This window comes from Homo sapiens, chromosome 2 (assembly GCF_000001405.40).
Source record: "Homo sapiens chromosome 2, GRCh38.p14 Primary Assembly".
Lineage (NCBI taxonomy): Eukaryota > Metazoa > Chordata > Mammalia > Primates > Hominidae > Homo > Homo sapiens.
In genome coordinates, this window is record NC_000002.12 from 2,483,921 (window position 1) to 2,511,476 (window position 27,556).

General features: G+C 43.1%; 1 long non-coding RNA gene across 1 annotated transcript, besides 1 other annotated feature; it reads left to right on the forward strand.

The window, feature by feature from the left end:
• The first annotated feature begins 470 nt into the window (after window positions 1–470).
• LOC105373389 (uncharacterized) lies at window positions 471–23,489 on the forward strand. Its single transcript, XR_922726.3, has 4 exons — window positions 471–670; window positions 3,221–3,366; window positions 11,128–11,297; window positions 23,244–23,489. It is a non-coding gene; the product is annotated as an uncharacterized LOC105373389 (long non-coding RNA).
• Window positions 20,255–20,304: a silencer, noted in NCBI's record as "silent region_11105". NCBI's record gives its function as "represses an Ori minimal core promoter by ATAC-STARR-seq in GM12878 lymphoblastoid cells {active_cell/tissue: GM12878}" and the evidence as "EXISTENCE:reporter gene assay evidence [ECO:0000049][PMID:35858748]".
• Window positions 23,490–27,556: the final 4,067 nt, after the last annotated feature.

Consider the following 27,556-nt stretch of genomic DNA (forward strand, 5'->3'; position numbering starts at 1 on the left):
ATTGTGCTCAGGGTGCCCCACACCCGCAAGCTCCATGCAAGTCCTGAACTGTGTCACTTAAGTGTCTACATTTTAAGTCCCCTCCTGGGGGCTGGAAGTGTGTTCTTTGTTCAGCACCATTTAATCTATTGCTCTGCACAATGTACATTCACTGAGCAACATAAATCATAAATAATAATAGTCAATATCCTTAGGGCAAAGCACAGGCAAACAGCTTGCCTCCAGTAGCCTGCCCCCAGCAGGGGCTTTGACAACGGCTAGTCACCTCAACACGAGGGTAGCATTTAGCCCACCTGTGTTTCCCATTATATGAAGTCATTGAAGGAGACTTATTTTTTTTAATAGCAAAATGAGACAACTGAATATTTATCCTTATAAGCATCTTTTAAAAATCAAAATTACTCTTTAATCCCAATTATGGTTATTAACCAATTAGTTCCTCCACATCTCACTTAAATAATTTATTGCAGAACACACTCAAGGACAATTCTCAAATCCAAGTACTGCTTCAAGTTCACCTAATTACTACAGCATCAGAGCGACACGCGTTCCAGAATAAGAGGCTGTCCGTGGATTTGCTTCAGCGCTCCATGGCTTGGCAGACTTCCTCTTTGCCAGGGCCGTTGTATACGTAGCTAAGTCTGAGTAAAAAGACAGTTCCACGATTCAGGTACAAGAAACATAACACCAAACTAGACTGTAAAAAATGACAAGTGTAAGTGCTAGAAAAAAATCTCAATAATAGAAATGCTTATCACATGATTTGGGGTAGAAGCTGGGTGAGAGTGTGTGTGTGTGTGTGTGTGTGTGTGTGTGTGTGTGAATGAACATAGGTTGAGGTGGGAGAACTGGCAAGAGTAGGTAAAAAGATCAACACTATTAAAGAAACAAGGACAAGCAGAAAAAAAGAGAGATTTGAAGGACATAGTTATTTATTGTTTCAGCAGTCAAATCATCTTACAGAATAGGAAAATAGATCACCTCTATATGCTTGACATCATTTTTTTTGATGCATGATCAGAACAAGATATTCATAGATAATAAGGCCATTGTAAACCAAAACCATCTAACCCTTTCAAAGTGTCAAGAAGGGGAATCTATATTTTCCTAAATGTCTTGAAATCACTGTTTAAAAACATAGGAGAGAGGGACTGAGTAAAGGTAATAACATGTGGCTGGCCCTCATAATATGTTTTGCAAATAAGAAAATTCACCCCTTGCATGGAGCAGAGGTATCCCACACCAAGGCAGAGGGTAGCCTGGACCTGGGCCCCGTTCACCTCCTGAACACTTGCCTGGGGAATGTGGGGTGTGTGGTGCTGACCGCACACCTCTCCTGGAGAGGCTGGAGGGAGGGACACATAGAAACAGCAAGTTTCATGTTGTGTCATGGAATAAAAGTAGATTCATACCTATTGAGGGAAAGTACCTTGTTTAGAAAACATTCCGATTTCCTCAGGAGTTGATTAATTTATCTTTTTTTTTTTTTTTTGAGATGGAGTCTCACTCTTTCACCCAGGCTGGAGTGCAGTGGCGCCATCTCGGCTCACTGCAACCTCTGCCTCCCGGGTTCAAGCAATTCTCTTGCCTCAGACTCCTGAGTAGCTGAGACTACAGGAGCACGCCACCACGCCCGGCTAATTTTTTTGTAATTTTAGTAGAGGTGGGGTTTCACCATGTTGCCCAGGCTGGTTTCGAATCCCTGAGCTCTGGCAATCCACCTGCCTCAGCCTCCCAAAGTGCTAGGATTAGAGGCGTGAGCCACCGTGACCAGCCTAGTTCACTTTTCTAAAATGGTACTGACGAACTTCCTTGTTCATTACTGTCTATACAACTGACCTAAAAAGACCCAAGTGTAACCACATTTATGTAAATGTAGCACAATCTGCATTTCATTTTGAGAGATGATGTAGGTACAAGCTTTCACATAAAAATGCCTCTTGTCACAGAGGAAGGTATGCCAAAATTTATTGAGACCTTGAAAGTAGTGTACTAAAAAAGTGTGTGAATGTGTGAATTTTACACTGAATACTCTCTAGGAATCAGAGTGAATATTGCTTGTCTAAACTGATTCATGTGAGCAAGGTTATCATGCAACATCAAGAATTCTGAACTCCAGTAAGCCAAAAAAATTGGTTTTAGAAATCAAAGGTTTGAAAGAATCATTAAATTCATCAAATTATCTTGTTTGATATGAACTCAGTTTGGGGAATCTTCTATTGAAGAATAGCCTCTGTAAGCAAAACTATAAAACTCTAAGTGTACAGCATATGGTGCAATAGATTTTCACAAACGGAGCACACCTGTATTCACCAGAGCCCTAATCAAGAACCAGAGGACAGCCAGGATCCGGGAAGCCACCCTCCATCTCTTCCATTACTACCTCCTCCAAGAGTAACCACTGTCCTGACCCACAAGACCATCGGTTGATTTTGCCAGTTTCTGGAATTTGTAGAATAAACTGAGGCCGTGCACTCTCCTATGGGGCATTTGCTACTGAGATGTATCCACATTGTTGCAGGAAGTTGTGGTCCAGTCATCATCATTGCTTCAGAGTTCCATTGTGTGGCTCTGTCATAATTTTTGGACCCATCGTATAGGTGCTGGGTATTTGGATAGTTTGCAGTTTTGAGCTATGATAAAGAGTGCTGCTAATAATATTGTGTACACTGACCTAGCTCTTTTCCAAAGTTTTAACAATTTGTACACCCACCAGAAATGAACAAGGGTCCTGGTGCTTCCATGCCTTCTACATAACGCAGCATGGAAAGTCTTTCTTCATCTTAGTTTTTCTGTTGGTCATACAGCAATGCCACACTGAAAATGTAATTTGCATGTTCCTGGTGACAAGGGAAGTTCAACATCTTTGAACATATTTATTGGCCATCTTCACATGCTTTTATGAAATAGCTATTTAACTTGCTTCCCTATTTTTTATTGATTTTTCTTTGCTTTTTTTCTTATTGATTCATTCAAGTTCTTTATATATCTCTGTGTGAATCTTTTGTTGGATGGATGCATTGCAAACATTTAACTCTATGGTTTGTCTTTTCACTCTTTTAATGCCCATTGATAAACAGAAGTACTTAATCTTATTATAGTCAAATGTATTAATATTTTGTTCATAGCTTTGTCCTATTTAAGAAATGTTTCCTTACTCCAAAACATAGGAATGATCTATGTATTCTAAAAGTTTTACTGTTTCATTTTTTACATTTAGATGTGCAGCGCATCTGGTTTGTTTCTGTGAATTGGTGAAGTGAAGGTTAAGATGAATTTTCTGCTTTTTCCTGTTTACTCAGCCCAATTTATTAAAACGACTCCTGCCTGTCCACATTCTGCAGCACCACAGTTCTCATCAGCCAGGTGAATTTTGTGTGTGGGATGATTCTACACTCTGTTCTGTTCTATTGGTCTGTTTCTCTATCTGACTCTTCTGTCTTAATTACTGCAGCTTTAGATCAGATCTGAATATCTGGTAGCTTCAGTAACTTAGCTCTATTCTTGTTCTTCAAGATTGCCTTGACCATTTGCATTGCCACAGGAATTTTAGGAACAATTTTTCAACAGTCTGTAAAAAGCCTGCTAGAATTTTAATTGTAATTGCATCATATGTACAGATTGTTGGGGGAAAAATTGAAATTAATATAGTAATTATTTTTAAGCTATAAGCATAATATATATCTCTGTATATTTAGGTATATAATTTCTTTTCTTCTTATTTATTTACTTATTTATTTATTTGTTTTTCAAGATTGAGTCTCTCTCTATTATTGCCCAGGCTGGAGTGCAGTGGCGCAATCTCGGCTCACTGCAATCTTCGCCTCCTGGGTTCAAGCGCTTCTCCTGCCTTAGCCTCCCGAGTAGCTGGGACTACAGCTGTGCACCACCACACCTGGCTAATTTTTGTATTTTTAGTAGAGACGGGGTTTCACCATGTTGGCCAGTCTGGTCCTGAACTCATGACCTCAGATGATCCACCCACCTCGGCCTCCCAAAGTGCTGGGATTATAGGCATGAGCCACTGCACCTGGCCAGTTTTTAAAAATAAAAATTATACACATTTGGGATGTACAACACGATGTTTAAAAATATGTAGACATCGTGGAATTGCTAAATGAAGCTATTAACATATGCATTACCTCACATATGTATTATTTTTTGTGGTGAGAACACTTAATCTTCTCTCAGCAATTTTCAAGTGTGCGACACACTGTTATTAAGTAGAATCACCATGTTGTACAATAGGTCTCTTGAACTTACTTCTCCTGTGTAGCAGAAAGTTGACACCTCTTAACCAACATCTCCCCAACCCCCTTCCCACCAGCTCCTGACAATCAGCGTTCTCCTGCCTGTTTCCAGGAGTTCACCTTTTTTAGCTTCCATATATAAGTGACCTTACCTCATACTTGTCCTTCTGTGCCTGGCTTATTTAACCTAACATAATGCCCTCCAGGTTTCTGTAGTTATAAATGACAGGATTTCCTTCTCTTTTAAGGCTGAAATTTGTTTTTATACCACATTTTCCTTATCTATTCATCCATCGATGAACTCATGGATTTTCCTTATCTATTCATCCATCAATGAGCCCTTGGATTGATTCCATATCTTGGGTGTTGTGAGTAGTGCTTCCATGGGCACAGGAGTGCAGATATCTCTTTGACTTACTGATTGAATTTCCTTTGGGTATATACCCAGCAGTGGAATTGCTTTCATTAATGTTGCATAGTTTTCAGTGTAGAGGTCTTACACACTTTTGTTTGATTTATTTTTATATATTTTATGTGAGTTGTTTTGCTACTATAAACATTTTTTAATTTTTATTTTGTTATATAGAAATTTGACTTTTTAATTCTAATAGCTTACAGAAACGTTTGGAATTTCTAAACATATAATGATGTCATTTGCAGAGTAATGTCATTTCAATACAATACATATATCAGCTTTATTCTAGGTATAGAATGTTAAAAAATATAAGACATGTCGAGTTCCCTCCCCCACCCATCTATATTTCCTTTGAGAAACTATTCTTTCTGCTGAAAATACAGAGAACACACAGGGGATCAAAACTCTAAGCATATATGGAGCAGAAGAGAATACCGGAAAATAAACAAAAAAAGTAATTTTTTATTATGTGAAAACAGGACTTTCCCTTTCTATTGACAATCTTTATGAATATGGTTAACTTGGTTAATTACAAGTGTAGTAAGTGTTTATAGGTGAAATCAATGATGCGTGACATGACTGAGAATTGCACGTTATCAATTTTTACCTTTGTAAATTACTTCGGATATCCATAAAATGATTATTTAAGGAATGTATTGCATGTTAAAACTGTCCTGTTTCTCATATATGAACAAAGTCACTAATAACTTCATAGTAATTCTTCTTATTATTAATTAAAATGTATTTTTGGTCTTTTGGTGGTGAGGCAATATGAAGAGGAACCCATGGGAATAAAAGACATATTATGTTGCACTTTTCTCAGAAAACGGTTTAATATAACTCATATTTGGAGCCTAGGAATACATTATGGGACTGTAGTCACAGTCAACATAAGCAGAAAATGTTGAATTTAAATAAAAATCACTATTTTCAAGTATCTCTTAAGCCTCCAATTTTTGTCCTAAAATGAGAATATTTAAATAGGCTGGCACCTCTGGATTATTTTGGCTAGTGATGTGTATTACGATCATTTTGTTCCACGTTTCATGCAACAAGACACTTCTGTAGAGAAAGTTAACATCGTGCTCCAGGGCCTTTACTCCTTGTACAGGACTGTGGGTTCCGAGTGGGGCAAAATGATGTAGAGTAGCCCCTCGTCCTGTGTCCCTTTATAAAACCATTAGATTTTGCTCTTTATAAAACCATGAGATCTCGTGAGGCATATTTGCTATCATGAGAACAGCACGGGAAAGGCCCGCCCCCATGATTCAGTTACCTCCTGCGGGTCCCTTTCATGACATGATGTAGAGTGGCCCCTCATCCTGTGCCTCTATCTAGAATTCTGACAAGCCATTTTCAAGGGAAGCTGGTAGCTAGAAAGGAGGAGGAAAGAGACAGAAAAGGTAAAGAACATTGGAGGCAGAAAACAGGGATATTAAGGGGAAATTAGAATTAAACTTACAAGTAGGTGAATAGAACGGTGACACCTTCAAAGGAATGAGGCATATTTTTTTCTTCCCTCTTTCCTATAGTTTTCCCAACTTCATGCTAAAGTATATTCCAACACCACAGCTAGCCACATGTGGGCAAATGGTAGAAAATGAGGCCAGTCAAAAACAAGGAGAACAATAATTTGGACAAATATAACAAAAGAAATAAAAAGTAGTCAAATTTGTCACAACAGGTAAGGCCCTACCAGGCCTCCCCTCTGGGCTCGTAGTTGCCTTCTTTGGCATTTTCCAGTGGCTACCTCTGGGAGGGTTGTTGTAGAAGGCTGTGAACTTCAAAATAAAATACATTACGGAAAAATATAAAATGTTATTTTTGTGTCCATAAAAATAACTGGACATGTGAGACATAAGGGAAATTCCCTGTCTTCCAGAGAGAATATGAAGAAATGATTATTTATTGGCTATGAGTCAATGAATGATGGCCCTCCCATCCTCTTTGAGCTGATAAGGGCTAATGTCTGGTGTCAGTCTTCACCTGATGAGATGTCAATGGGAGACCAAATAGCAAGGCATGGGATGGTCACAGAAAGAAGAGGAGGACTAGAACCTGGAGGAGGGTGGACACAGGGAAATGTGGCATCGTGAGGAAGGGGACTGGATAGATCTGTGTAACCCTGGAGGGGAGGATCGGGATATATTAGTCTGTTCTCATGCTGCTAATAAAGACATACCTGAGAGTGGGTAATTTAGAAAGAAAAGAAGTTTAATGGACTCACAATTCCACATGGCTGGGGAGGCCTCACCATCACGGTGGAAGGCGAATGAGGAGCAAAGTCACGTCTTACATGGTGGAAGGCAAGAGGGAATGTGCAGGGAAACTGCCCTTTATAAAACCATCAGATCTTGTGAGCCATGTTCACTATCATGAGAACAGCTCAGGAAAGACCAGCCGCCATGATTCAGTTACCTCCCTCTGGTCCCTCCCAGCACACATGGGGATTATGGGAGCTGCAATTCAAGATGAAATTTGGGTGGAGACACAGCCAAACCATATCATGGGACAAATTGCCATAGGACAGCAGCATGTACCTCAAGAAAGGAGCAGCATAATTTAATCAAAGGCTTGCAAAGTGGGAGTGAGAAGTCATGAGGGGAGATGAGCACAGAGGTGCATAGAGTTACAATAACAATCAAAGTACTGAATAGACACTGGAATAGGTCAGTGTTGAGGTCCTGCAGAACCAAGACCCCAGGACTCCTGGGGCACTAGTGAAGGGGGTTTAGACGGGCTTTGCTGTCCTAACCCTGGAAACTCCTCTAGGCTGCTTTATAAATGCACAGAATGTGCCTAGATGGTCAGGTTCATTTACTTCTAAGTTTTTTCTTCTTGTCTAAATTATAACACAACTTATGTGCTAAAACTATCACTATAAAAAATTATACCTATTTTTCCATCAGTTACCATTATTGGCCTGAAAGTTTCCATGCTTTAGTGTTTTCTGTCATTTTGGATACATTTCTTTAAAAGTTGAAAAAAACAGTATGTATTTTATCACCTCAAAATTTAGAAACACACAACCCAAGTACACATGCATCCTCCCACACCTCAATTTCTGGTGTAATTGCTGTTGGTTCACAGACCTCTAAAGCAGCATGAATCCAAATTTCACTACTCTGCATCACAGTATTTTATATTTTACTTATAAATATGAGTTATTTGACTACAGGTGAGAGGAAAAGAAAGGTAAAGTCAAAGAGCCACCGGACACACTGAATGACCAGAGCCCCAGTGAAAGGCCCGTAAGCAATTGCATTTCCAAAGGTGTGACTTACACAGGACTTCTCTGAGGCCCCGATTTTGTACAAGGTGACATTCAAATTTGCTTCTTCTCTGGTTTAGTCAAAACGTTTGTTTTTACACTATGTCTAAGCAACCCTGAATTTTTTGGGGTAATGAAAAGAGCACTAGGCTGGGAGGCAGGAGGCTGGCTCCTGCTCCAGGTCTAATGCTGCCCACTTGTGTGACCATCCCCTATGAAGCTGTAAGCCAGTGGTAAATGATCTGGGGGCTTGGTTCAAATTCCAGGTCTCACTCTGTCCACCTTTTAACCTGGGTGAGTTCCTTCCCTGTAAAGTGATGAGTCAGTAAGTTGTCTTTGAAACATGTTCCACGTTGGAAGTCAGAAGACCTCATGCCTTCCTGCTAGGTTTCCTCCAGGTTGAATATAAGGGCTTCGAAAAGTCCAACTCAACATGTTTTCTGTCCACAATAGTTTCTGCTTGTATGTTACTATAGAAAACTGTTTAATCTCAGGTGAACTTCTTCATTGTCCTCAACTAGTACAAGAAGAGAACTTCCTTCCAGCATTCGATGTGATGGTTAACTAAGAAAATAAATGTAAAGTGCTGATCACAGTGTCTGTTGTGTACAAAACTCTCAGCAGACAGATTTTAAGACTGGACTTTTTTCTTGTAGGAGGAATGTTCAGAAAGGAAAAGAATTCATTAGAAACATCTTTCTTTTAGCATATGTCATCTTATCTGTTCTAAGATGCTAAGGAGAATGGGAGGAATGTGTATATGAATATCGTATGCTTGTATATTTTGAATATAAACACGTATTTGCATGTATGAGTGTCCATGTCCATATGCATGTGTATTATGTATATACTTATGTGTGTATATAGGTATTTATATGCTTTTTCCACACTTGTTGTTCTTGGCCTCTATTGTTTTGTAATCTGCACTTTTGAATTCTGGGCAACTGGGCCTTTTTCACTTCTGCCTGTTGCCCATCCAAATGATAAATAAATAAAAAGACTTAAAACTCTTAAGCTGAATTTCACTTATTTCATGAAGCCGGTAATCTAGAAGTGATATCAGCCTAGGGCATCTAAGTGGAATTGCTTCCACAAAGCAGTAGCACCAGCTTGCACACCAGCTAACACAATGACATCATTCGTAGCTGGAAACTTTGATAGCTCCTGTCTGTCACAGAGAAGATCAAGTTCAAACGTCTTGCCAGGGTATATCAGGCCATCCATGACTCAACCTCTCTGTGAAGGTGAATTTTATGTGTCAACTTGACTGCGCCATGGGTGCCCAGATGTTTGCTCAAACATTATTCTGGTTGTTTCTGTGAAGATGTTTTCTGATGAGATTAACATCTGAATTAGTAGACTTGGAAACACTGATTTCTCTCTCTAGCATGGGTGGGCCTCATCCAATCCATTGAAGGCCTGAATAGGACAAAAAGACCCTCTCTGGAGTAAGAGATAATTTTTCCTGCTTGGCAACTTTCCAAACTGGGACATTGGCTCTTTTCTTTTCTTTTCTTTTCTTTTTCTTTTGGACTCAAACTAAAGCATTTGGTCTTCCTAGGTTGGTACTACACATCAGGTCTCCTGGTTCTCCAGCGTGCTGACTCACCCTGTGGATGGCTCTTTTCTTTTCTTTTCTTTTCTTTTCTTTTCTTTTCTTTTCTTTTCTTTTCTTTTTCTTTTTCTTTTGGACTCAAACGAAAGCATTTGGTCTTCCTAGGTTGGTACTACACATCAGTTCTCCTGGTTCTCCAGCGTGCTGACTCACCCTGTGGATCCTAGGACTTGCCAGCCATGATAATCACATGAGCCAATTATGTATAATAAATCTGCTTATTCAACCCACACACAAACATATACACACACGTGTTTCTTTCTGCAGAACCCTGGCTGACGTGCTCTTCACCCTCATTAGTCAGCACCTCTGCCCTGAACTCCTCATTGCAGTCAACCACATTTAAGCAGATTCTGGAAGATGCCTTGTGGCCCCTTCTCTGTGCACCCTTGCCTTTGCCCCAAGATGGCCAGATTAGCTTCCGAATCCAGCTCAGGCTGTACTCCGCTTTGTGAAGTCGCCTTGGAACCCACCCCACTCCCTCTGCTCTGTGCCTTGACCATACCTTTACGGATGCACCTTCCAACTCTGATGATTTTTGTATGACTATTGCATTCATTAGGCTATCTACCAAACATAGTGCCCAGAACCTTTGTGAGATGATTCCCTAAAAGACAGCTCATTGGGAGAGAGACTCCTGTCTGATTTATCTTTGTATGGTTTGATATTTTTTAGTCCATGCACGATTTACATCTAATGACATCATGCTATAATTTAGAATTATCTGTCCTACAAAAGGCAATGACTTATTTAATTATTATTATTATTTTGAGATGGAGTCTGTCTATGTTGCCCAGGCTGGAGTGCAGTGGTGCTATCTCGGTTCACTGCAGCCTCTGCCTCCTGGGTTCAAGAAATTCTCCTGCCTCAGCCTCCTGAGTACCTGGGACTACAGGAGCATGCCATAAGGCCCAGCTAAGTTTTGTGTTTTTAGTAGAGACAGGGTTTCAACATGTTGGCCGGATTGGTCTTGATGTCCTAACCTTGTGATCCACCTGCCTCAGCATGCCAAAGTGCTGGGATTACAGGCATGAGCCACTGTGCCTGGCCTAAATATTTTTAAGATGCATATCTTATATCTTTCTGTTAATTGTAACCCCGCTGGCAGCATAAACCCTATGACCAAAGTACCTCACACAGTTGACTCAGTGTTAGCCCTATGATGGGACTAAATATGTGTTGGTTGATTGATTTTGGCTCTTTGAGAAATTTTTCTACAATGATTTTTATGAGTCAGTATAAGTAATTAATGTCAGCTACCAATCCAATCATTTCTAAACTCTTGCTAGCCTTAGAAGCCTCCTAATTTCTGCTGTTTAACAACATCAAGCTTTTTACTCACCTCTAAAAATATTAACAAGTTATGGAAAGACTCAACATATTTACCAAATATGTGAAATAAAATGTCTTTCTTTTATTTGTGGATTCTCTTTTGGTTTCAAATGTGAGAAAATATGCACAGGGGAAATGATGGATGAGTTTATATCAGGTGTTAGGATTCTGATGGTTTATCTACACAATTTCCTCCATAATTTCCTGAAACTTTAAAAACTAATATTTTCCCTCAACATTCCAGGTATTGTTATTACCTTGAAGGACACAAGGTGAATAAAATATCAATTCTGCTCTGCTCTTGCTCAAAGACTGGAAAATTCTGATTCAAAATATCTAGACAAGAGGATTTGCTTGGCAACTTATAGTAGCAGCAAGAGCAAAGACCCACTGATACACATGAACTCATCATTTGTAAGTAAAATATCCTTCCTACGTGGCAAAAACCATTTCTACCTGAATAAGATGACCTTTTCTGGGGAAGCTTTCTACAATTTTGCTCCTAAGTGAGGAGATATGGGACATTCCCATTCATTAGCAACTTGGGGACAAAAAATGATTTTTTTTTCTTATTTTATTTTATTTTATTTTTCTGGCTGGTACTTAGGTAATTCTGCAGAAATCCCAATGTCAGATAACTAGTACTGTCAGGTGCCCCAAAAGAATGCTTTTTAGGTTTGTCAGCATCTCAATCCCATGGCACAGTTGCTGCTCCTGGGATGGGGGCACTCTGCAAGCACAGCTGCCGGGTGGGCACTCTGGATCCAGCTCCATGGAGTCTCATTCTTCTGGAAAACCTGGCTGAAGAGTAAGTGGGAACAGGGACATAGAGAAAATAATTTGCCTGTCTTGTAACTCCCCATCTAATTCTAGGTAGAGATGATTGAGACAGTAGACTATATCCAAACATTAATCAACTCTGAAGATTAATTCCTGTGGTTGGCTATAAAGGGCTCTATTGAGGCATTAAAACCTAATGCCTCCACAAACCTTCAAGCAGTTAGACATCTGCGCAATTCTTTCAACCTCATGACCATTTATGTGAAAATGATGAAACAAAATGGTGAAAGGAGAAAATGCAATTACTTCTCACATATTTCCTCAACTCAGACAAGGAAAATTGTCAGACATGTTCATTGAAGTGTTAATCACACACCTTGCACAGAGGAGGGGATCATTATGGGTTAAGCTATAATTCTGTAAAAGAGTCATATGATGCTAGGTTACCTCAGTCATTGCAAGACAATTTTGGGGGTCCATACAGTCCATTCATTTATTCATTCATTTGATGAGAAACTATGTGTGTGTTTCCACCGTGTGTCAGGCATCAATCATAGGTGCTACAGCCACACATGCAAATAACACATAGTCCCTGTGTAATGGTATTTAGAGTATCAAAGGGAGACAGAGATGTATAAACAGATATGCATAACCAAAGTGTTGCAGTAAAAGACCATACAGGATGCAATGAGAACACAGAAGAACTAGAGGGAGGAGGCGGGGCTTCAGGGGAAAGATTTGTCAGGTGTCCTAGACGGGGGGAGGAGAGACACACGTCCAAGCAGAGCAGGTGGGGTAGCAAAGGCATGAACGTGTTACGTGCTTTTCTTGGATTCTTTCTACAATTTCAAATGCTTTCTGAATTACCTACAGAAAGGGACCTATCTTTGCTGGGTGAGATCCAATAACTTGATCAGTGCAAACTTTTAAAAATAAGAATGAGTTTCAGACAACTAAATTTAATTTCTATGTTTTCAGGTCAATAGTGGCTAGAGTGCTTGCATGTACTATGACCAAAGGAACATGCTTATATTCTGAAATACCATAAATTATTAATAAGATTAGATACTTTAAAAGTAATTTGAATTTATTAGATGGTTCGGCTGTAGCATAGCCTACCTGAGACAGTTTAATATAACTCTCAGCTGTAAATTCTGTACAGTTAATTGGGATTTGAATCCATATGAAAAAGAAGTTTGGAAACTTGTGCTGATAAAAATGTTTTCCACTGGAGAGGGTATGTACTGCATTCTCAATGGTCTAAGAGGATTGAGTGTTAACTTGAGAGAAAGGTTGCCAACAAGGGCTGTGACCGGTACACAGCATAAGGCATACCTGGCTGGAGCAGATGCAGTTACGAGACTTCTGGACTCTTCAGAAAAGAACAAGGACTTCTTTACCAGTTGCACAAATTTTATTCTATGAATGCTTGTCCTTCACAGATAAGCTCTCAATGTCTCTATATGATTCAGCATTTTCAGGCTAAGTATAACCATGAAACCACAGATAAATTGATTACCATGAAAATATGTCCAATGTTTACAACAGCATCATGGTGACCACGAGATCCCTAATGCAACACCCAGAGTTCTCTCCTCCATCTTATGGTGATTCCAAGTCTAAATGCTCTTTCCAACAGGCAATGAAGATTTCCAGTGGAAGTTTCTGTTCAAGGAATACAGTGTGTTACACATTGAACAGAACCAGTAAGATCTGCAGAGATTTCAAGAATGAAATCTATAGAAAATTCTAAACATTTGGCTTAAAATTTTTCTCTATATTTAATTTACAGTTTGTGCCATTCCAATGACAAGGTGTGCTTTCTAAAAACAGGTGTCATAGATACTTCTTGATATTCTCTTCATTGCTGATTACTGTTCTAGGGTCTTGGTAGACAATAATTATCTGCCAGTTCAATGAATGAATAAAATATATCCATGCTCATTGGAGAATAAGTGATGTTACTAGACCATGCAAGTTGATTGACATGTGACCATCCTCCTTCAAAATAAGAAGTAGATTTACTTGATGAGGACATGGAGGATCAGAGGAAGACATCTAATGACATGCAGATAACTAGAAAATAATCCTATAGCAATCCCGTGGCTAAGGGGCCATGGGTTATTCTTCCAGATAACCAGTGAATAGAAAAGGTATGGAATTTTGCTACTTTGTCACTTTTGTTTTGAGTAAAACCTTGGTATGAGAAAGCATCATCAAAATAGGTAACATATCTGACTCTTAACTAGTCAGCTATTCACAGAACATGGGTATGGGAGAGACAACATGAGGGTTCCCTGAGGCTCTTAGCTCCATGATTGTTGAATGTTTCACTGTACCCACAATTACCAATTGTTCACGAGTCTGAGCATAGTAGGTAATATGGTCAGGCTCTGTGTGTCCCCACTGAAATCTCATCCTGAATTGTAATCTGAATTGTAATAATCCCCACATGTTGGGGGAGGGATCTTGTGGGAGGTAATTACATCACAGGGGCAGTTCCGCCATGCTGTTCTCATGGTAGTGAGTGAGTTCTCATGAGATCGGATGGTTTTATAAGGGTTTTTCCCTCACTTCGCTCAGCATTTCTCCTTGCTGCCACCATATGAAGGACATGTTTGCTTCCCTTTCAGCCATCATTGTAAGTTTCCTGGGGCCTCCCCAGCCCTGCAGAACTGTGAGTCAATTAAACCTCTTTCTTTTATAAGTTACCCAGTCTCAGGCAGTTATTTACAGCGCATGAGAACGGACTAAGACAGTAGGTTTGCGAGACAGTTATCAACAAATGCAAGCAAGGTGTCAGCTGTCAGAGGCACACATCATGGGTGTATGTTAGTTTCCTGGGACTGTCATAATAAGCACCAGTTGGGTGGCTTGACAGGACAAATGTTTATTCTTCCACCTTTCTGGAGGTCAGAAGTCAAAAATCAACGTTGTATTTGTTCTTTTTTATGCTGCTGATGAAGACATACCCGAAATTGGGTACAAAAAGAGGTTTAATTGGACTTACAGTTCCACATGACTGGGGAGGCCTCAGAATCATGGTGGGAGGTGAAAGGCACTTCTTACATGGCAGCAGTAAGAGAAAAATGAGGATGAAGCCAAAGTGGAAACCCCTGATACACCTATAAGATCTCGTGAGACTAATTTCACTATCACGATACTAGCACGGGGAAGACCAGCCCACGTGATTCAATTACCTCCCCCTGGGTCCCTCCCACATGTGGAAATTCTGCGAGACACAGTTTGAGTTGAGATTTGGGTGGTGACACAGCCAAACAATATCATTCCACCCGGTCCCCTCCAAATCTCAAATCCTCACATTTCAAAACCAATCATGCCTTCCCAATAGTCCCCCAAAGTCTTAACTCATGTCAGCATTAAGCCAAAAGTCCACAGTCCAAAGTCTTATCTGAGACAAGGCAAGTCCCTTCCACCTATGAGCCAATAACATCAAAAGCAAGCTAGTTACTTCCTAGATACAATGCGGGTACAGGTATTGTGTAAACACAGCCGTTCCAAATGGGATAAATTGGCCAAGACAAAGGGGGTTACAGGGTCCTTGCAAGTCCAAAACGCAGGGGGGCAGTCAAATTTTAAAGCTCCAAAATGATCTCCTTTGACTCCATGTCTCACATCCAAGTCATGTGGATGCAAAAGGTTGGTTGCCATGGTCTTGGGCAGCTCTGCCCCTGTGGCTTTGCAGGATACTCACGGCTGCTTTCACTGTCTGGTGTTGAGTGCCTGCAGCTTTTCCAGGCACGTGGTGCAAGCTGTTGGTGGATCTACTGTTCTGGGGTCTGGAGGATGGTGGCCCTCTTCTCACAGCTCTACTAGGCAGTACCCCAGTAGGGACTCTGTGTGGGGGCTCCAACCCCACATATCCTTTCTGCACTGCCCTAGCAGAGGTTCTCCATGGGGGCCCCACTCCTGCAGCAAACTTTTGCCTGGACTTCCAGGCATTTCCATACATCTTCTGAAATATAGGCAGAGATTTCCAAACCTCAATTCTTGACTTCTGTGTACTGGCAAGCTCAATACCACGTGGAAGATGCCAAGCCTTGGGGCTTCCACCCTCTGAAGCCAAGGCTCGAGTTCTACCTTGGCCCCTTTCAGCCGTGGCTGTAGTGGCTGGGATGCAGGGCACCAAGTCCCTAGGCTGCACACAGCATGAGGACCCTGGGCCCAGCCCATGAAACCACTTTTTCCTCCTGGGCCTTGGGCCTGTGGTGGGAGGGGCTGCCATGAAGGTCTCAGTCATGGCCTGGAGATATTTTCCCCATGGTCTCGGGGATTAATATCAGGCTCCTTGCTACTTAATGAAATTTCTGCAGCCGGCTTGAATTTCTCCTCAAAAACTGTTTTTATTATTTTCTTTTCTGCTGCATTGTCAGGCTGCAAATTTTCTGAATTTCTAGGCTGTTTCCCTTTGAAAATGGAATGGTTTTAACAGCACCCGAGTCACCTTTAGAATGCTTTGCTGCTTGGAAATTTCTTCCACCAGATACCCGAAATCATCTCTCTCAAGCTCAAAATTCCACAAATCTCTAGAGCAGGGGACAAATGCTGCCAGTATCTTTGCTAAAACATAACAAGAGTCATCTTTGCTTCAGTTCCCAATAAGCTCTTCATCTCCATCTGAGACCGTCTCAGCCTGGACCTTATTGTCCATATTGCTATCAGCGTTTTGAGCAAAGCCATTCAACAAGTCTCTAGGAAGTTCCAAACATTCCCACATTTTTCTGTCTTCTTCTGAGCCCTCCAAACTGTTCCAACCTCTGCCTGTTACCCAGTTCCAAAATCACTTCCACATTTTCCAGTATCTTTTCAGCAGCACCCCACTCTACTGGTACCAATTTACCATATTGGTTCATTTTCACACTCCTGGTAAAGACATACCTGAAACTGGGAACAAAAAGAGGTTTAATTGGACTTACACTTCCAAATGGCTGGGGAGGCCTCATAATAATGGCGGGAGGTGAAAGGCACTTCTTACATGGCAGAAGCAAGGGAAAAATGAGGAAACAAAAGTGGAAACCCCGGATAAACCCATCAGATCTTGTGAGACTTATTCACTGTCAAGAGAATGGCAGGGGAAAGACTGGCCCCCATCATTCAATTACCTCCCCCCTGGGTCCCTCCCACAACACATGGGAATTCTGGGAGATACAATTCAAGTTGAGATTTGGGTGGGGACACAGCCAAGGCATACCAAATGTGCCTGCAGGTCGGGTCCTTTGGAAGGTTCTGAGGGACTAGCCTAACCACCTCATCTTAAATTGATTACACCTGCAAAAACCCTATTTCCAAATAAGGTCACATTAAAAAATACTGGGGGTTAGGACTTCAACATGTCATTTCTAGGAACACAGATCCACTGGTAGCCTGGTCCACAGGGCACTGGGATTCAGGGTGAGATACAAACAGGTCTCACTGCTCTCCAGCCTCACCTGGGATGGGCTTTCCTTCAGAAAGATGGTCCATGATTGCTAGAAGCAGTGCTCTGGAGTGGTTCTCTGATGAAGAAGCACACTGTGTTCTCTCTTTTTTTTGGTGGAGGTTGTGTTCTGTATCTCATCTGATGGTGGCTACACAAGCACACATGTGTAAAACTTCAACAAGCTGTACACTTATGGTTTGGTATTTTACTGTACATCACTGACATCTCAAAGATGTTTAAAAAATGATGCTGGGCTTAATCTAGCACATATTTTCTGTGGCGTTTATACTACAGGAATCTGTACATGCCCTGATCTGACAGTGAGCCACGTCACTTTCTGACTTACACAATATCTTGCGTTCATATGTAGTAATCATATCCTTGAGTTAATTATATACATACCAGCAATGTTCTTTTTTCCCTGCATTATTCATATAGTAATTTTATTTACTTCATTTGTTCATTATTTGATTCATTATATGAGAGTTTACTATGCCCTAGATATTGTAGAAATTGCTGCAGAGGCAAAGATGACTCATACCTAGTGCCTGCCTTTGAAACACTCTCTAGTCACAGAGTCAGAGGAGAAACAGACAGTTATGTAACAAGTACAAGGCCACATCTGCAGACCACTGGGCACCAGAGGGGCCCCGGGGTAGGAGTCCTTAGCAGGCAGAGCTTGGCCAAGGCAGCAAAGGGAGGGATGTTTGAGTGAGGGCTGGAGACAGAGAAATCTAATGATGGATGTAGGGGTCAGACAAATAGGTGAAGAATACAAAGGACGGATCGTGGGACAAAGATATATACATTTGTGTGTGTGCGTGTATGTTTATGTGCATGTGTGTGTGTGCTTGTGCGTGTGTGCATGTGCATGTGTGTGCATGTGTTTCTGTGCGCATGTGTGTGTATGTGCATGTGTGCATGTCTGAATGTGTGTATAAACACACGTGTGCATCTATACATGCATGTATGCATTTGCAGTGAGCGTCCCCATCTCTGCTCTCGGAGGAAAGATCCCTTGCCTGCTTGGTCAGCATTAGGTCAGGACCTAGTTGTGCTGGGTGGGTGAGGCATGAAGAGGAGATGCAGATGAGCAGATGAAAGCAGACCAAGTGGTTTTATCAGAGGCCTGATGTGAGAGGGGAGTGACACAGGGGCAGAGATGTTGTAGGAGTGCCAGGAGATGATGGTGATGAACAGCCATTGTGAGCCACAGCATTCAGGGAGAGGACCAGATGAAGGGAGCATAAGGGTCCTTCCTGTATGTGGTGCACTCTGGCCTGTCCCTCTTCCTCGCTCCCCCAGAGACGAGGCAGTACATGTTCACATTCCTCTCTCGCTTGCTGGGGCTGTGTTTAGCTCCTAGTAGATGCCACCCTGTGGAGCCAGGCCCTTAGGCTGGAGCAGAGAACTGCGTTGGTTCTGGTTACAATAATAACAGGTTTTTTTTAATATCTAGTGCTCTTCAGGAGTCAGCTCCTGTACAGGCATTATCTCTAATTTTCAAAATAAGCTTGTGAGACTGACTTAAACATTCAGGAAATGCAGAAGTGTTGGCTTGCCCAGGCTGCCACTGACTTGCCTGGTGTCAAAGCCACCATACTACCTTTCCAAACTCAAACTTTCTGGCTTTTTGGGGTCCGTACACAAGGCTCATACCCAGAAGTCCATGTCTTTATATTCTTCATTGTACACAACATGAGAGTTCAAGGCAAAGCAAGAAAACGGCATGATAGTCCCTCGCTGGCAGGCTGAGTCTTGGGGTGACAGGCCACATTTCCTCTGCACCCCCACCCCAGTCCCGCAGCTTAGCCCACAGCCAGGCACACGAGAGCAGTGGGCTTCCACTCTCCAACCCCTCCACAGCGCGTGCAGCCCCCTCAGTAACACGGGCTCTGCTGACGGCTTTCACGCACGCTGTCTCAGTCAATTCTCAGAATAAATCTGTCTTCTACGAAAAGCTCTCCCCACCTTCCCAGTGTGGAAGTAGAGATTCTGGGCGGTAGAGCCTTTCGCTCAGTTCCACCCAATCCTTAACTCTGCAGTAGACTCAGTCCTGGTGAGTGCCTCTGTCCTGCTCCATACACTCAGCTTTCCACACTTAGCTCCCATCTGCTGAGACCATCCTTTCCCCAGGGACCTTTGTGTGGGGAGTCCATACCCACTCACTTCCAGGACCTGAAGGACGGACAAACGCCTTCTGCACTCTTCTGACAGTAAGAGCTTCTCTGCACTTAACGTTCACTGAAAATTCGGTGCTCACTGAGCACTTTAGTTCCATTCTCTGAGAACAGCCCTGTGAGAAGGGTGCCATTGTCCCCATTCACAGAAGAGGAGACCCTGGCCTGGAAGGCCTGCATGGTTACACGTCTTCATCCAGCAGGGAGGCATTGGTGCTGGAAACCTGCAGGGACCACTGCCTTCACACACTGCACTCATGGACCATGTAGGTGTCTCCCCAAAGAAGATAATAATTTATGTTCAGCTTAGTTTCAGCTTTAATTTCTATTCTGTTGATTAATTTTAATGTGATGCATCCCACTGTGGGAAAACCACTGGCTCTTTCAAAAGATCAATCATCCACTCAGAGAATATGGGTCCTGGATTAGGACTAGGGGTCATCTATACAACGAGATTATACAAATCCTGAGGACACTTCTTTGGTATTCCTGGGATTCGATCCCATCTGGGCCTCTTGTTTCAAATTCCACCCATCATTGTTGGCCATCTGACCAGCAAAGTGCTGAGGCTCTGCCATGTGGACCTTGCCATTCCTCAAATCTCCTCAGTAGGGTTTTGGCAGACAGGTCAGAGACCACTGAAGAACTCAGACTCAGAGTGCTTGGACGGGAGTGTCTGGGGCAGGTGTGGCAATGGACCACAGAAACAGAGGCAAATCCTGCTGAACTGGTGCGAGGGCCGCAGCCAGCCCTGCCCATCTGGAGCGAGCCACAGCTTTTGCTTAGCTGTGATGTTCTGCATATCAGGCACAGGCCTCCCTGCCCAGGGCTCTGCTGCATCATTAACCAGGAGCAACGGGAAAGTCACTGTGTCTGGGAGAAGCTGCAGAGATCCCAAGCTTCCGGATGTCACCACATGGTGCTGTGGTGAGAACAAAAACATCTCCCCCTAGACTGGACATGCCTAAGAAGGGCTCTCAGCAAAGCTGCCAGGGTGAGCACTAGCTGTGGAACAGGCTTTGGTACCACTTCTCCTGCTTGCCAGTGGTGCCCCTACAGAGAGAATTTCAGTTCTGCAATTGAAGTGAAAATGAACTTTCAAAAACAGCTTTGCAAGTTTAGATTGAGTGTTAAATTTGCTACTAGCTTAAAAATAAGTGAATTCACCTTCAGAGAAGTCTAACATCTAGGAATTAGAAACTTAGAAGTGGCATCTTTTTTTCTTTCATAGAAAAGCATGTCAGATTTTAGTGTAAATTGCACGAAAAGTGCAGAAATTAATTTGTCTTTCTCCAACTTTGTGAATATATGATTTTAAGCCTGTATGGCACTAATTTTATAAGTCTCATACATTGCTTATATATAAATCCTTTTATGAGGACTTTTAAAAATCATCAACATTGTGCAGCTTGAGGTATAATAAACAAAATATTTCCTGGACTGAATGACAAGCTATTCATTGAAAGTGTGTCTATACTGTAGTAGTGGAAGGGAGATTGGCCTCTTCTCTGACGTCTGTATCAGAACAGCCTTTCTCTTTTTTTTTTTTTTTTTTGAGATGGAGTCTCGCCCTGTCGCCCAGGCTGGAGTGCAGTGGCACAATCTCAGCTCACTGCAAGCTCCGTCTGCTGGGTTCACGCCATTCTCCTGCCTCAGCCTCCTGAGTACCTGGGACTACAGGTGCCTGCCACCACGCCCAGCTAATTTTTTGTATTTTTAGTGGAGACAGGGTTTCACCGTGTTAGCCAAGATAGTCTCGATCTCCTGACCTGGTGATCTGCCCACATCAGCCTCCCAAAGTGCTGGGATTACAGGCGTGAGCCACTGCACCTGTCCAGAACAGCCTTTCTCTTATTTTTAATGCTTTCAAATCAACACATGACCATTATTCCACTAAATAAAATATGAAGTTGCTCTGTAGTTTAAAAATAATGATTACAGGGAGTTTAGTTTGAACTAAAAATAAGTTACCCAGCAATTTCAATTACTGAAGAAAAATTTTTTCTGGGCACAGATTCAAGGGGCCACAACCTGGAGCCCCACCCTGGATGGGCCTCCCAGCTTCTGCTATCCCTTCCTGACTTCACTGAGGCCAGTGGGGCCTAACCCAGAAGTTCAGTGAGAAGACATATCTCAGGACCAGAGCCTGTCTCTCTGATTACTTCCTCCACAGCTCCTAGCCTGGTTTCCCAGCCGTGCTCCGCATTCAACCCCTGGAGCCATCGTCAGGCATTACTTCTCTGATTCTGACTCCATCCCTTATTCAGCTACAATTTGTGGTCATCACTGGGGAAACATTGGTCTTTAGTTCTGGTAAACAACCCAACAAGCTTAACACCCACCATCCAGGGTCCAGCTCCTCCTCAGCCCTGCACACAGACAGCATTACCAAAGAGGAAACCAAACTAAGGCTGGAGAGAGAAGCGATGGTTTTGCCAGAGCATGGGGTTCCCAGCAGCCTGGGGGAAGTGTCAGGAGATGTTCCTCCCCTCCACAATGATTTTGGTCAGGGAGAGTCAGACAAGGGTGAGAGCACAAGAGACAGGAAAACAGAAAATAGCATGAGTCACTGACTGGCACCTGCACTGGGCCAGGCTTGGCGCACATAACCCTCATCCGTGAATGGTCCTGCTGGTGAGGTCAAGCAAGTCCCTGAACTTGCATGGTTAGCAGGGACCAGAGGGGAGGTTTGGACCCAGGCTTTCTGTTGCTAAAAACCCCTCCCATCGTAGTCAGCCTCCACCAGGGGCCCTGGATCTTGTATTTTTGTTTTTATCCCTTTCATAATTAGTTATTTTCCCTGTTTCTCCTACTTCACTTTGACAGTGAAGCCTTATTTCTTTTTATTGCTAGCTGGCATGCATGGCTGAGATATTCCCTGAAAGGCCTTTTGACCATTCTGGGACTAGAGGATTCTCGGTAGGTCATCTCAGGGACAATTGCATTCACACAGGAGGCACAGACTAGGATCCTGTGTGAACACCACAAACAGGCCAGCCCTGGAAGCCCCTTCCCAAGAAGCCAGAGTTTCATGTGAGATCCACACCACTCAGGTAGGGCAGGTGCATGTGGTCAGGACAGAACAGGAAGGCCTTCCCATAGAGCTAAAGAAAGAAGAAAGAAACATGAAAAGTGGCTCAACAGTCAAAGACAGTTTTATTTTGGAGAATAAACCTGAGAGGGGCTCCTGGCCAATTTCCATCAGGAGCATTCTCTCTTAGAGACTAAGGGTATTTAAGGGTTTAGGAAGGGGGAGTTTATTGCAGGCTTGGAATGTTTCTGTGTGAGGGAAAGTTTATTGCGGGGCTGGCATGTCTCTGGTCAGAGGGTAGGTTATCTTGGGATTGGCATGTTTCTGGCTGGAGAGGGGTTTATCTCAGGGTTGGAATGTTTCTGGTCATGCTGACATTAACCATTAGGCTGAGGTTTTGGGGCTGGATTTAGGCGGTTTTTAATCAAGGGAACTTAAAATGGCCGTGCGTGTCCAAGATGGCAGTGTGTGTCCAAGATGGCAGTGCTGCGGCTCTGTCACTTCCCTCCTCAGGGCCCCAGTCCAGAACTGGCTCCCATCAGAGATGGCTGAGTGGGGAGGGAAAATGAACTGAGAAAAGGAGAGAAGGTGGGCGCTTATACAATGTAGGATATGGATATGAACCCTTCCCACCCACGCCTTTTAAATGAGCATCTCTGCAGATACTGTTCAGAACCCCTAAAGCCTCACACTGGCTGGGGGGCCCCAACTTCATCCTATTTCACAATAGGACCACAGGAGGTGGTGTGCTCTGTGACCACATACCAAGTGGCAAGCAATGGGGGCTCCAGATGCCCAATTTGCTTCTCCACACGCTGCCCATCTCTGACTGCCCCCTTCTTCCCTTCCCTTGCCTGTTGGGAGAGAAAGTTTGCATCATTCTTCATTTCTTTTGATTTCCTATTTTCCTCCCTTCCTGGTGTGAACAGATAAAATGAATTACACACAGACGTAAAGAAAGGGGGTCTTCCCCTAAACCAGGAGACTGTCTGGGCAGGCATTTGCTGCAATTGAAGTCTGACAATGGGGCGAGACATCAGACGCCGGGAAAGCCTGTGGCACCTCCTGCAGGGGCTGAGGGGCCCCAGCCTTGCTGTTCCAGGAATCCACTCCAGGAAAAAGCTAAAAGCCTCTGCACCACTGCCGAGTTCATTAAATGGCTTCTGCCATATTAATCTTTTGTTTCTACTTAATGGAGGTTACAGTGAATGGGAGGGGATGAGAGCCCAGGGTGTGTGGGCTCGATGGGAAATCACCATGGGAACGGCAGCTCGATCACCAATTGGTGATTAGCTGCCCAGTGCCCACCCCCGGAATTCCATCTTGGAAGAGCACAAGGTGCAGGTGGTGGCTCGGCAGACCGCAGACCTGGAGTGACGGGTGGCAAATGGCCCCACAGGTCACCCAGAGCCTCCTCCGTGGCTGGCCTGGCCACGGCCTGCCCTCCCCGTCCCGGGGGACACTGCCAGCATCGACGAGAAACAGCTGAGTCAGGAGCTTTCTGTGTGAGCAGAGAGTGTGCCTGCCAGTGCTGTTTTCACAGCCGACATTTTCAAAGGACAGGGAGGGAGCATCCCCCTGGCAGAGCCGCAGGGCTCCATCCCCGGCCTGGGAGGTTCATGCAGACCCGGGCCACACCCAGGAGGCCAGAGCCTGCTGCAAATGCAAATCCTCTCCCCCAGAGAGCTCGAAGTGGCCCAGCCACTGGGTGTTCAGAGCCCCTGGGAGCTACGAGGGCTGGCCCGGGTTGGGAAGCCCTGAATGGCCTTCGCAGAAGAGGAGATTCTTCTGAGAGGCAGGCGGTGCAGCGCAGAGCAGGCTGGGCGGGGTACCCAGGATGGGGGGACTAGGCAGTGTGGAAAAGGCCACTGTTCCAGCCTCCAGTTCACACCTGCCCTCCAGAAAATTCTTTCCACGGAATTATAGGGCTAGAATATGATGAAGGATTTTCATTCTGATGGCTTCTAGACATTTTCTTATCCATACAACTTTTTTATATGAAATTTTACAAGTGGTCTCAATACACAGGAGAGCCAGTGGACATGTAGCTGTCTTACTTACGATGGGGCAGAAGCAGAAAAGAAAGAAGCCAGCCCCTCTTGAGGGACCCTGGGATATGTTCATGGACCTCCAGGATTCCAAAATGCTGAGTTTTTAAACTACCAAGTTATTGCAATCTCATTTCTTTTGTTGGAATTATTCTTTACAGCATACCTAACGAACAATTATTTTAAGTACTTGGTAGGAAAATGGCCAGCCTTCCCTAACAAAATATATTTTTATCCTCTATTTCTAAAAGAAACTCCTATTTTTTTATCTAAATAATTATTACACAATTTAGGGAAAATTACTATCAGTGATAGGGAACTCACTACCAGTCAAGCTATTTCTATATTTGGATTAACTTCTGATAGTGTGACCTTCAGAAATTTACTTCCCCTTTAAGAATCTTAATTTTTGTGTGCAAAATAAAAATAATAATGATACCAACCTCATCAGGTTGCTGAAATAATTGAATGAGATAAATTAACTTAAAGCCTGGCACGTGATAAATGCTCAGTGAAAGTTAGATATCATTACTGAAAACAATTGTCACTATTCAGACGCTCTTATTATTGAACTGAAACCTGCATAGCTAAATTTTCCCCAATGCTTCTTAGCTATATCCCTGAGAGCCACCCAGAATGAATAAATTGAACTCCCTCAGACTTCAGAGAAAATAGAATCCTTCAGTCAAGACCCACTTAGCTTTCAGGCCACCAAACTGAAAAACTGACTTGAAACTTCATCCTTCCTTTGTCTGCTGTCCATTTTGTTTTGCTTACTATTTTAGGGTTCTCCATAGAAACAAAACCAATATAACATATATCTATCTATGGGAATAGATATATTTATCATGGGGGAATATTGGCTCACATAATTATTAAGGCTAAGAAGACCCACAATCTACATCTGCTAGCTGCAACCCCAGGGAAGCTGGTAGTGTTGTTCCAGTACAAACTCAGAGGCCTGAGAACCAGGGGAGTCACTGGTGTAAGTCCAAGCCCAAGTCCAGAAAAGAACCAGGAGCACAAAGGCCCAAGAGGAGGAGAGGATGGATACCTCAGCTCAAGCAGAGAGATAATCTGCTCTTCCTCTGTTGTTTTGTTTCATCTGGGCCCTCAGTGAATTGGATGATGCCCTCTTACATTGGTGAGGGCCGTCTTCTTCTTTACTCAGTTTACTAGTTCAAATGCTAGTCTCTTCTGGACGCACCCTCACAGAAACATCCAAAAAGCATGCTTTACCAACTTTCTTAGTTTGTTTTACATTGTTAAAAGGAACACCTGGGGCTGGGTAATTTATAAAGAAAAGAGGTTTATTTGGCTCACAGTTCTACAGGCTGTACAGAAAGCACGGTACCAGAATCTGTATCTGGTGAGGCCTCCAGGAGCTTCTACTCATGGTGGAAGGTGTAGGGGAGAAGGCATCATACAGTGGGACAGGAAGGATGAGCGAGGGAGGAGGTGCAAGATGATTTTCAACAACCCAATCTTGCAGGAACTCATAGAGTGAGAACTCATTGTTAAGAGGAGAACACCAAGCAATTCATGAGGCATCCATCTCCATGACCCAAAAACCCCCACTAGGTCCCACCTCCAACACTGGAGGTTTTTAAATCTCATGTTAAAAAAATTTTAACATGAGATTTGGAGGGGACAAATATTCAAACCAACTACCTGGGCACCCTGTACCCCAGTCAAGTTGACACCAGTTGACCCCAGTCAAGCCTGCTCTCTTGAGAACCTCCTTCTATCAGCATTTGACCTCTCCTCTCCCTTCCAGCATCCACCCTCTATGAGCCCACACCAGCATGCACACCTGCTCTTGGATCATCCCAACAGCAAAAAAAAAAAGAAAAAAAATCTCTCCACCCTCATTCACTTCTGGCCACAGTCCTGTGTTATGTCTTCTGTCCACCCCGACTTTGCAAGAAACTTGACCTCCATGGCATCTGTGTTTCCCTGCTTCCCATGAATTCTTCATGACTTTTCCCCTGGAAACACTCTCTTTGAGAATATCAGTGACTTCTTATGATAAAAGTCAATGGATGATTTTCAGATTTTGTCTTTGTGTTTGTTTGTTTTTAAGAATCTTTCAGCAACATGATAATATTGATTACTATATTGTTTATTGAAAAGTATTCTTTTCAACACCAAAAAAGGATTTTTTTGGTGTCAGATGCCCTGGATTTTGCTTTAGCCAGTGTATTAGTCACTTTGGGCTTCCACAATAAAATCTCACAGACTGGGCAGCCTGAACATCTGGAATCCATTTTCCCATGGTTCTGGAAGCTGAAAGTCTGTGACCAAAGAGCCGTCAGGGTGTGTTCTCCTGAGACTGATGTCTGCATGGGCTGGACAGAGCAACTCCATGTCACCCAGATCTCGTAAACGCAGCATTCTCAACACCGACGTGGTCATCATTCCCAGAACAGGTGTCTGTTCTTTCCTCTGTGTTCCACATCTCAGTGAACTCATTTATGTATTCACCCACCCACCCATCTTTCCATCCAAAAAATATGTCATGAGCACTGTGCCTGAACTGTCTCTATACTCACAGAGCTTACAGTAGAAGGAGAATGTCAGATTTTAATTAAATAATTTCATGAACCAATGGAAAATTTCATGTACAGTAGGCACTGTGACAGAGAGATATGCAGGCACATGACAGCAGGTGCCAGGGATGTTGCCCAGTTCATGAAGAAGGGGTTGCTTTCCAAAGGGAGAAGTCCCTCAAGCTAACACCGAAAAGATAGAGGGAGTAAGTGGGCACAAGGGAACAGTGTTCTACCCCAGGGAAGAGTGTGCAAGGGTGGGGACAGGGTGGTGTGAGTGATGGGTTGGGGGCCGAGGAGCAGGGGAAGCCAGACCCTGTCAGGCACTGTGGGAAGTCATGAGCACATCTTTTTGTTTCTGTGAAAAGTAACGGAAATCCACTGGGGGTGTGAAGTAATGGGGTGACAGTGTCCGATTTTCATTTTAAATAATGTATCACTTTGATTATCTTATGGTGAGTGCATTGGAGGAGAGAAGTAGGTAAACAGTGATATTATTGCAATGGTCCCAGCAGCTTTGGCCCGAGTAGTGGTGGGGAAAATGCAGAGATGAATTTATGTTTAAGAGACATATGGGGAAATAAAACCACATGTCATGGTGATAGATTGAACTTGAGAAGTAAGAAAGGGAAAGGTGTTGCTGTA